General features: G+C 46.7%; 1 protein-coding gene across 1 annotated transcript; it reads left to right on the top strand.

The window, feature by feature from the left end:
- The first annotated feature begins 6,050 nt into the window (after positions 1 to 6,050).
- On the top strand, positions 6,051 to 11,293 carry PRAMEF14 (PRAME family member 14). The gene is made up of 4 exons (NM_001024661.2): positions 6,051 to 6,128; positions 7,846 to 8,157; positions 8,569 to 9,147; positions 10,099 to 11,293. Exons 2-4 carry the CDS (start codon positions 7,871 to 7,873, stop codon positions 10,655 to 10,657), a joined length of 1,425 nt encoding a protein of 474 aa, NP_001019832.2. The 5' UTR covers positions 6,051 to 6,128; positions 7,846 to 7,870; the 3' UTR covers positions 10,658 to 11,293.
- Positions 11,294 to 11,598: the final 305 nt, after the last annotated feature.

The raw sequence follows: 11,598 nt of genomic DNA, 5'->3' as shown, positions 1-11,598 counted from the left end.
TCCTCTTTTACTAATCCTCCTCAGCACAGACCCTTAATGGATGTCAAGCTGGGTGGAAGGTCAGGTCTTTCCCATTCAATGAGGTCATATTTCAGACTATCACATGGGGAGAAACCTTGGACAATACCTGGCTTTCCAGGGCAGGGGTCCCTGAGGTTTTTCACAGTGTATTGCACCCCTGGTTACTTGAGAATGGAGAATGGTGATGACTTTTATCAAGCATAGTGCCTGTAAACATTTTGCTAGCAAAGCACATCCTGCACAGCCCTGGATCCCTTAAACCTTGATTCTATACAACACATGCTGCTGTGAGCTCAAAGTTGGGGCTAAAGTTACAGATTAACAGCATCTCAGGGCAAAGTCAGGGTACAGATCAAAATGAAGTTTCTTATGTCTTCCTTTTCTACATAGACACAGTAACCGTCTGATCTCTCTTTCTTTTCCGTGCATACACTAGTCTTCTTCTTTAGTCTGCTAGATATGGGAAGGGTGTTAAGAAAGGATCTCTCATCAATATGACCTGGCCCCCAAAAAGCATGCTTGATTTTTGAATGTGGTAAAGAAATATTTAAACCATGTTTTATGTCTATATGATTATTAGTATTTATATGTTATTTTCGTTTGTTTTGTTTTGTTTTTGAGATGGAGTCTCACTCTGTCATGAGGCTGAAGTGTGGTGGCACAATCTCAGCTCACAGCAACCTACGCCTCCTGGGTTCAAGCAATTCTCCTGCCTCAGCCTCTCTAGTAGCTGGGAGTACAGGCATGTGCCAACATGTCCAGCTAATTTTTGTAGTTTTAGTAGAGACGGGGTTTCACCATGTTGGCTAGGATGGTCTCGATCTCTTGATCTTGTGATTCTCCTGCCTAAGCCTCCCAAAGTGCTACTATTATAGGTATGAGCCAACAAACCCAGCCATATTTATATATTATAGGTAGTATTTTGCTAAAAGGGAATTTTGATATCTTTATAAGACACAACTAGTTTAATTAAGGAAGGAGCACTGCCCTCCATGATGACAGGTATGGGTTGGTGATGCCCTGAAGCTCCAGGTAATCAATGATGTGAATGTCCCCTTCCAAAGCAGGGGCCATGCCTTGTGCAGTGAATCTCTGTCCCAGCACAGCTAATGGTCAGAAATGGATTCTTCTCAATCTGCCCATTAGGACTGAACAGGGTCTCAGCATCTGGTTAGCAGGGAGGGACCCTGAGAAGAGGCTTTACTTGAGTGACTCCCACTCTTTGCCCACATAGAATGTTCCTGGCCCTGTGTGTGCATCTTGTGGGTATTCACCCACTGATCAGCCACAGAACAAAGTCAGGAAGTAACAGATTTGTAAAGAGAAGTAAAGAACAGGAGGGAATTGATAAAAATGAGGAAATTTCATTTGGATGCCTGACTTCCTGGGGCAGGACCTCATTAAAAACACAGCTCGGTGCTTCTGATTTTCTCTTTTTCTTGTCTCTTTTTCCTGAAACAGAGTCTTGCTCTATTTCCCAGGCTGCAGTGTAGTGGCTCTATCTCAGCTCACTTAAACCTCTGCCTCCTGGCTTCAAGTGATTCTCCTACCTCAGCCTCCCAAATAGCTTGGACTACAAGTGCCTGCCACCATGCTCAGCTAATTTTTTTTTGGCCCCGAGTCTCGCCCTGTCGTCCAGGTTGGAGTGAAGTGGCACGATCTGGAGATCTCAAGTACATGGACCGGGGAGGCTGCAGGAATTTGTTTATCTTGGGCTGGGGGTGCATGGGAAGTAGGTAGGGCTCCTGTGACCACAAACCCAAGGCCTCTGGGATCAGAAGGCAACAACAAGGGCCAGGACCTACCCCGGGGCCTGTGCTTGCAGGGACCCTGGCTCTCATTTGTATGTGGGGTGCCTGAGTGATTTCAGATTCCTCACCCATCCCCATTGGCTCTTCTAGGGGAGATGCAACTATAACACCTGTAGGTGACCCTGTGTAGGAAAAGACTGCAGAACCCACACGGGCCCATGCTGAGTGAGGCTTTCTCCAGGTGGGCACAAAAACCCCTAGCTCCCCAGCCACTGCCAGAGCTTGGGGTTGGGGGCCCTACATGGAGGCAAATGCAGGGAGCATTGGCAGAGGCAGGGCTGAGTGAAAGGAGAAGAAGAGCACATGGAAAAGACACAGGGGTCTCTGACAGTTCCAGGGCCAGAGGCACTTGGGAGTGGGAGAGGCATGACTGGGAGATAGGTCCAGGGCTTTTTCTGAGCCCTGAGGCCCCAGCAGGTTTACTTCCCTTCGAAGATCTCTCTGGGCTATTGTGCCTGGGAGTCAGGGCTGGCTCGGCTGCAGCCCTGTGGGAAGGGCATAGATCCCTCAGGGTCTAAGGTTCAACTTTACTCTTATCCTCAAATGAGGGCTTTTACCCAGGGACCTCTTGTCCGCAGATTCCACGTCTTGTTGCTGGACTCCCAGAGGAAGTTGTCCTACCAGGGACATGGGATGTTATACTTTTCTCTTCCATGGAACCAGCTCTGTCAGGTAGAGTTGTGCCTTTCTAGGTGGCCACACACACACACACATACTTACCATGTGGGCATTGCAGTGATGCCCACTGGGCTTGGGGTTCTTCCATAGCACCCAGCTGAAAAAAGCCTCACCTAAGGCTAAGAAGAGACCTGGCTTGGACAAAAAAATACTTAGTGCATTCCAGGTGCATCCTTATCAGCTCTAAGGCTGGGCCAGGGGAACCTGGGAAGGGATGGCCCCTGCGCTGGGACCTGTCCAAGGCTCTGTCATCATCCTGGCAGCCTTGGAAGACCAGAGGGGTCAGGTCTTCCTCTGCAAGCCAGGCAATGTCACCACCCAGAAGTCCAGGGTGCCTCTTTAGGTCCAGAGCAGCAGCTGTGGAGTTTCCTGCTTTGTGCCTTGCCATGTTCACCAACATCACTCAATATAAATTGAGGAAATTTTCTTAATTACTGCTGGGTCTCTCTGCATTGTGGCCATGTTCCGAAGTCCAGGAGAGATGGGCTGATGGCCTTGGGATGCATAAAGTGACGCCGGCCCCATCAGCTCAGGCTGAGGGAGAAAACAGAGGCTCAGGAATATTCTAGAGAGCCTAAGCAAGGGCCTCATAGGAGCTTTGGAATCCCAGTGTGGATTCTGGGAGTGGAGAATAGGTCAGGTCGTTTCCTGAGATGGGTTTCGAAGGTTGCTCTGAGCTTGGCAGCAGATGAGCACCTCGAGAAGAACTGGCGACAGAACATGGTAGAAAAGACCCCAAGTGCAGGATTCTCACTGGGGTGCTGGGGGTGCTACTGCACCCCTTGAAATGGGCAGGAAGAGGGAGTCAGTCAGCCAGTTCTTTCCAATATTTAGCTTATTGAACACCTTGGGGGTTCCACTGAGCCCCTCACCTGAGGGGTTTGCCAATCATTTGCTACCAGAACATGGGAAGGCTTTTCCTCTGGCCAAATCTCAGGTTTATCGTGTTAGAAATGGGGAAAATAGCAACGTGCCTTAGATTCTCCATGAAGAAGAGCTGAGGTCCGGGATGATCAGTACCAGCCGTCTGTTGTGCCTCGTGGATGCTCAGTGAACACAGATTCTCACAACCATTATTGGTGTTGAGCTCACCCTCAGCCTCAGGTTTACAAAGTGGGGCGTGGGAAGTAGAAGTCTCACTGGGCTCAGGTGATCCTCCCACCTCAACTTCTTGGGCAGCTTGGCCTACAGGTGCACACTGCCTCTCCCCAGCTAATATCTTATATTTTTATTAGAGACAGGGTTTCATCACATTGCCCATATTCCTCACAAACTCCTGAGCTCTAGCACTCTGCCTTTCTTGGCTTCCCAAAGGGCTGGGATTAGAGGCCTGAGGTCTTTCTTTCTTTTCCTTCCTTCCTTCCTTCCTTCCTTCCTTCCTTCCTTCCTTCCTTCCTTCCTTTCTTTCTTTCTTTCTTTCTTTTTTCTTTCTTTCTTTCTTTCTTTCTTTCTTTCTTTCTTTCTTTCTTTCTTTCTTTCTTTCTTCCTTTCTTTCTCTTTCTTTCTTTCCTTTCTTTCCTTCCTTCCTTCCTTCCTTCCTTCTTTCTTTCTTTCTTTCTTTCTTTCTTTCTTTCTTTCTTTCTTTCTTTCTTTCTTTCTTGCATGCTTGCTTGCTTTTTCTTTTGTTCTTTTTTGACAGTGTCATGCTGTCACCCAGGATGGAGGGCAGTGGCGCCATCTCAGCTCACTGCAACTTCACATCCTGGGTTTAAGCGATTCTCCTGCCTCAGCCTTCTGAGTAGCTGGGAGTGCAGACATCTGCCACTATGCTCGGCTAATTTTTTGTATTTTTAGTAGAGACGGAGTTTCACCGTGTTAGCTAGAATGGTCTTGATATACTGACCTCATGATCAGCCCACCTTGGCCTCTCAAAGTGCTGATGTTACAGGCATGAGCCACTGTGCCTGGGTCTGAGCTTTCTTTGTAGGCCTAATGTTGATGCTCTGATAAGAATCTCTATGTTCAATATTAGTGACAGGAAAGGACTCTAAGAAGGAGGAAACATGAATTATCAAATTAGAGTAGGAAGGGAGTGGGTGAGATTAAGATTTGGATGAAGGGTCCTGGAAAATGACTGGGGCCAATGGTTGCTGGGAAATGTTCCACTGTGGGAAGATCCCAGAGTCTAAAGGAAAGGTTTCCAGATGATAGAACAATGACGGACATATGGACCCTCGTTCATTTCTCTCTCACATCCTGTAGAGCCCACAGTTTCTACCTGGGTGGCTTCCAGCTTGGGAGAGCCTCCCTTCCCAGGTCTGGCCCCAATCTTCTCTCTGGCCTCTGCTCCAGCTCACATTCTTAGATTCCATCTTTGCAAGCTGGTTTTCTGAGAGGAGCCCATCAGTTTTGTGAGTAAACACCCTTTACCTTCTAGTAGGGCCAAGACTATACCTGCCCCCTGTGTTTTCAAAGTGAATGTTATGGTTTAAGTCTGCCCTATCTCTTTTGATGATTCTCCTTTTAATTTCTGAACTCAATCTAGGGTGGGTGAGATGGCTGATGCCTGTTATCCCAGCCTTTTGGGAGGCCAAGGTGAGGAGATCACTTGAGGTCAGGAGTTTGAGACCAGCCGGGCCAACATGGTGACGGCCAACATGGTGAAACCCCATCTCGACTAAAATACAAAAATTAGTAGGGCTTGTTGGAGTGCACCCGTAATTCCCAGCTACTTGGGAGGCAGAAGTGAGAGAATCACTTGAACCAGAAGGTTGAGGCTGCAGTGAGCTGAAATCGTGCCACTGCACTCCAGCCTGAGTGACAGATGTAGGCCCAGTCTGAAAATCAAACAAACAATCAATAAATAAACTCAATCTTGACAAAAGACTTTGAGTCCTGACATCTAGATGCCCACAAGATAACCGCCATGTTTTACATTGTCTTGTTTCCTTTGCAGGTTCCCATTAGAACACCTAGTCTCATTCCGCTCAGTCCCCACCTCACTTGGTCACTTTGTCCTGATTTCCTTCGGTGAAGCCTTGACTTAGTCTTGAGATAGATCACACTCTCAGTGGTTCCTTTCTTCTACCTGAATGTGCATATGATCTGCTATGTTAGATAGCATAAAACACAGGTGACCATTCGATATACACAGCTTTTTATTCTGTTTTCTTGGGAATGACATCACTATCTTCTTCAGGCTGTTGTAGCTCTGAAACATTTTGACAATTTTGATGTGGCCAAACATCCTCCAATAAGGACACCTTAAGGTTTTTTTTTTTTTGGCCTAATATCAGGAACAGATTAATCCCTTCCCTACATCACTACGAAAGTCGTGTATTAGCCAAACTTCATCAGTATTTCGGGAATAAATGAACGAATGAGTTTTGGACTTTCACCCTATTATTTATTCTTTTACTTCCGTAAATGTGTATCTAATTCGATCAATTAGTCAGAAGAAAGCTGAAAACTCAATCAGGATTAACTGGGTGTGACTGCAAGATCTAATCAGGTATCAGTTTCTGATTGGAAGCTGGTGATTGAGAAGGGAAGGGTGGGGTTAGAAAGGTCCATAAAAGCTCCTGAGGGTACCCAGAAGAGACCCACAGCACTCATTCCTGGAGCTACTGCTTGGTTCCCTGAGAGGTCCCAGAACTCTGCAAAGTGAGTCCAGCGCTGGTAAGTCACCACCTTCTTAGGGTCATGCCCATCTGATCAGCAGCCAGCCAGTCAGGGACGGTGACACACATCCCAAAGTGGCACACAATATTTTTCTGTCTGTTTCGTGAGATGAACAGATTTAGGCTTTCATTTTTCCTCTAAATGTAGTTTTGTCTTCATCCATCAAATTGTGATTTGTGCTTAGTTTTTGTCATTTTAAAATTCTTATCGAAGCAGGTTTTTTAAAAATATATTAAAAATTTACAGTGACATGAATTTTTATTTCTTGACATTTGAAGTTATCTGTTTTTGTGCCCTTCAATTACAGTTCATAGACTTGGTGTTATTGTGATTCTCCAAGTATGCTTTCATTTTCATAAAATCCTTAAAGGTATCCCACACACCAATCTCAAGAGTGCAGTTTTGCTCAGATCATGGGATTTATCTTTGCCCCTAGGATCCATCAAAAAGTGGGTAATTGTGAGTATGTGGAAGTGATGTCTATAGGAACCTTCATCTCAGAGTTACAGTGCTCTAGAATAGCATGGTAGCACTTTTACAGTTTTTGAGATGGAGTTTCCCTATTGTTGCCCAGGCTGCAGTGCCATGGTGTGATTTGGCTCACTGAAATTTCTGCCTCCTAGTTACATGCGATTCTCCTGCTTCAGCCTCCTGAGTAGCTTGGATTACAGGCACTCACCACCATGCCCAGCTAATTTTTGTATTTTTAGTAGACACAGGGTTTTGCCATGTTGGCCATGCTGGCCTCAAACTCCTGACCTCAGGAGATCTGCCCACCTCAGACTCCCAAAGTGCTGGGATTACAGGAGTGAGCCACCGCGCCCAGCTACAGTTAGCATTTCTATACATACCTTCCAAATGCTGTGGAATACCATCACACCACTTTTACAGTTCCAGTGAATTATTTTGTTTTTTTTCTGCGATGTACTCTGAGTGTGTCACCCAGACTGGAGTGCAGGGCCCTGAGCTGGGCTCCCTGGAAACTCTGCCTCTGGGCTTCAAGTGATTCTCCTTCCTCTGCCTCCAGAGTAGCTAGGATTACAGTCATGCATGACCACACCTGGCTAACATTTTAATTAATTAATTTATCAGTTTGTTTTTGTTTGAGTCGGAGTCCAACTCTGTCACCCAGGCTGGAGAGCAGTGGTGAGATCTTGGCTCACTGCAACCTCTGCCTTCTGGAGTCAAATGATTCTTAATTTTTTTGTATTTAGTAGAGACATCGTTTCATTATGTAGGCCAGGCTGTTCTCGAACTCCTGACCTCAAGTGATCTGCCTGCCTTGGTGTCCAGCAGTGTTGGGATTACAGACATGAGCCACAGCACCTGGTCCATTTCTGGTAGAAAATTTTCAAAATAAAAAATAATGGCATCGATTTTAGGGAGTCCCTTTAGTGTTCCCCCAGCACGTTTATGGTGTGAACTGAGAATGGAGGCTGTCTGGGGCCACAGGACACTCTCATTCTCATTGCTTTAGGGTGGTAAGTGACAAGAAATTTTTCCTCAAAGAGGTAGAGCTTGGCTTTCAGGATCCTCAGTGGCAGTGTCCGGTGGTTCTGGGATTCAGTGGAATGAAGGATGAAAATTAATAAGCCAGTGGTCTCCTTGACCCCTCCCTCCTTGGTGTTTGGAAGACATTCTTCCTGGTACCAGTAGAAGCAGATGATTGTGTTTGCCATGAGAGTGATACATTTTCCCTGGATTTGTCTTCTAGAGATTTTTCTTGCAGATCTATCAGGATGAGCATCCAGGCCCCACCCAGACTCCTGGAGCTGGCAGGGCAGAGCCTGCTGAGAGACCAGGCCTTGTCCATCTCTGCCATGGAGGAGCTGCCCAGGGTGCTCTATCTCCCACTCTTCATGGAGGCCTTCCGCAGGAGACACTTCCAGACTCTGACGGTGATGGTGCAGGCCTGGCCCTTCACCTGCCTCCCTCTGGGATCACTGATGAAGACGCTTCATTTGGAGACCTTAAAAGCATTGCTGGAAGGGCTTCATATGCTGCTTACACAGAAGGATCGCCCCAGGTGAGGTGACCCAGGAGGGCTGGTAGATAGGGCTCAGGTGTCCAGGGAAAGAACAGCAGGGTCAGGCAGAGAAGTAGCCCAAGTGTGGCCCAGAGTCTTCTGATGGTGTTGGCGAGGAAGATCAGGGAGACTTTGGCCATTGTCCAGATCCTCAGAGAAAGGAGTGCTCACCATACAGGGTCCACTGTGGGAACAGAAACCTGCCTTTACTCAGTGGAAGGTAAAGGGAATAGAAGTGGGGAATCAAAAGTCAGAATCAAAAGGGAATCAAAAGGGAACAGGGATTGAGAAAAGACAAAGAGAACAGGGAGCACTGAGGACAGGAGCAGCTGATTTATGGGATGAGAATGAAAGCAAAGGTCAGGGATGAGTCCTTCTAAATTCTGAGTCTCTCCCTTACTTTACCCACAGGAGGTGGAAACTTCAAGTGCTGGATTTGCGGGATGTTGATGAGAATTTCTGGGCCAGATGGCCTGGAGCCTGGGCCCTGTCCTGCTTCCCAGAGACCATGAGTAAGAGGCAGACAGCAGAGGACTGTCCAAGGATGGGAGAGCACCAGCCCTTAAAGGTGTTCATAGACATCTGCCTCAAGGAAATACCCCAGGATGAATGCCTGAGATACCTCTTTCAGTGGGTTTACCAAAGGAGAGGTTTAGTACACCTGTGCTGTAGTAAGCTGGTCAATTATCTAACGCCGATTAAACATCTCAGAAAGTCATTGAAAATAATATACCTGAATAGTATTCAACAGCTGGAAATTCGCAACATGTCCTGGCCACGTCTGATAAGAAAGCTTCGTTGTTACCTGAAGGAGATGAAGAATCTTCGCAAACTCGTTTTCTCCAGGTGCCATCATTCCATGTCAGATAATGAACTCGAAGGACGGTTAGTCACCAAATTCAGCTCTGTGTTCCTCAGGCTGGAACACCTCCAGTTGCTTAAAATAAAATTGATCACCTTCTTCAGTGGGCACCTGGAACAGCTGATCAGGTGAGGAAGGATCATGCACTTTATATGCAGACCACAGCATAGCCTTGTTCTGTTACAGCAAACATTAGAAGGCGTGTACTGTGTGCCAGCCAGTGGCAACGTCACAGTGAAGGGGACACCAGAATGTCAACACATTGTCCCATTCAGTGTTCCATGTCCTGGAGTGGCTATCACAGGAACGCTCCAATAAGGGCAGAGGGGTCACCTGGGGTAGAAGCTAGAGAGAGACATCATGTACAAGCTAGTTAGTGGGGGTTTCAGCTCTATTGGGGGTGCACGTGTGAATTTCCTGTTACAAAGTGTGTTTCAAGTTGATATGATGTCAAAGAGATAATAGAGGAGGGTATGAAAGGAGGGAAAGCGCATCAAACCTGTCCATTTCACAATAGAACGTCTGTCCTCACCGGCTTAGTGATCACGAATGATCCTGTCTCTGATTCCCTGTTTGTAAAAGGTTGTTTTGAACTCCAGGAAAGGTAACTGACATGGGAAATGTGTGCTTCTGGGATGGAGGTGAGGGAGTAGGCGTGAGAGTGGTAAAAAGTGACAGTTGGTTTGCAGATGCAGGCATGTCAGGGAGCCCCTGCCGACATGTAGCCCTAGCTGATGTCCCTAGACCTTGCTGAGTTGAGTTCTTTGTTCACATCTCCCACCGGGTACCTGTAGCCCAGAGATAAAGTTTTCTGCTAAAAGATGAAAAAAAAAAAAAAAAAGGCTTTAGAGATTTTATGGCCTTGAACCAATCACACAAGCAATGTTGAAAGGGCTGAGGCTAAAATGGGACAGCCCCTGAACGATCAGGGTCCTCATCATGCAGCAACTTCCATGAGGACCATCATCAGATGGTGGGAACAAACTTGTGTTTGTTTGACGCAGGCATTTTCCTAGATGAAGGCACTACCTTCATCTAACTGGTACCATTGCCCAGAACTAACTTCTTGATCTCCACAGGTGCCTCCAGAACCCCTTGGAGAACTTGGAATTAACTTATGGCTACCTATTGGAAGAAGACATGAAGTGTCTCTCCCAGTACCCAAGCCTCGGTTACCTAAAGCATCTGAATCTCAGCTACGTGCTGCTGTTCCGCATCAGTCTTGAACCCCTCGGAGCTCTGCTAGAGAAAATTGCTGCCTCTCTCGAAACCCTCATCTTGGAGGGCTGTCAGATCCACTACTCCCAACTCAGTGCCATCCTGCCTGGCCTGAGCCACTGCTCCCAGCTCACCACCTTCTACTTTGGCAGAAATTGTATGTCTATGGGTGCCCTGAAGGACCTGTTGTGCCACACCAGTGGGCTGAGCAAGTTAAGCCTGGAGACGTATCCTGCCCCTGAGGAGAGTTTGAATTCCTTGGTTCGTGTCGATTGGGAGATCTTCGCCCTACTTCGGGCTGAGCTGATGTGTACACTGAGGGAAGTCAGGCAGCCCAAGAGGATCTTCATTGGTCCCACCCCCTGCCCTTCCTGTGGCTCATCACCGTCTGAGGAACTGGAGCTCCATCTTTGCTGCTAGGGAAGGCGTGCCTAGCGGGGTAGAGAAATCCAAAGTTCTCTTCCAGGCACTGGGACACTAAAATCTACTATGTAGGTGCAAACTATTTTTCTCTTTTCTTATTTATTTCATTTTTTAATAATTCCAAAATTTTTATTAAAGACAATTTGAGACAGGGTTTCTCTGTGTTGCTCTGGGATCCTCCTGCCTCAGCTGGGCTTATGGGATCCTCCTGCCTCAGCTTCCTAAAGTGCTGGGATTACTGGCATGAGTGACTGTGTCCAGGCCACATGCAACTTAAAGGAAGCACAGGGAAGTGCTCAGTGTGAGGGAAAAAAACATAACAGCAGGGGGCAAGGCTGGAGGAAAATGTTGAGGTGACATCAATGAGAACTTCAGGGACCCGTGTCCTACAGAGTCGGAAAGAGAAGCTAAAGTTCTACAGTGATGAGAATGTTATCCCTGCAAGGATGGTTACCAAGGAATATCAGAAATAAAGAGCACCTGAATGAAAACTTTTAACCTGTTGTAGCAATTTATCCACCAGAAATATCTAGTTATTGAGTTACTGATGGAAAAATAATGAAATACTACTTTGTCTGTGATTGAGTTTCAGCTGTAGAACATCAAAGCAACCAAATAGAATTTGATCATTTTAAGTATTTCCCACCCGTTCTTGTTCTTTGTTTTGTTTTGGAGACAAAATCTCAGTTTGTCATTTAGGCTGGAGTGCAGTGGTGCAATCTGGGCTCATTGTAATCCTTTCCTTCAGGGCTCAAGTGATTCTTGTGCCTCAACCACTCAAATAGCTGGGACTGCAGGCACGTTCCACCAAGACTGGCTGATTTTTGTATTTTTAATAGAGATGGGGTTTTTCCATGTTGATCAGCCTGGTCTCAAGATCCTGGCTTCAAGTGATCCACTGACCTTGGCCTCCCAAAGCGCTGGGAAAACAGGCATAC

The sequence above is a fragment of the Homo sapiens genome, chromosome 1 (genome assembly GCF_000001405.40).
Source record: "Homo sapiens chromosome 1, GRCh38.p14 Primary Assembly".
Taxonomy (NCBI): Eukaryota; Metazoa; Chordata; class Mammalia; order Primates; family Hominidae; genus Homo; species Homo sapiens.
The sequence above is the reverse complement of the archived record's forward strand: the minus strand, read 5'-3'. Positions and strand labels throughout refer to the sequence as shown.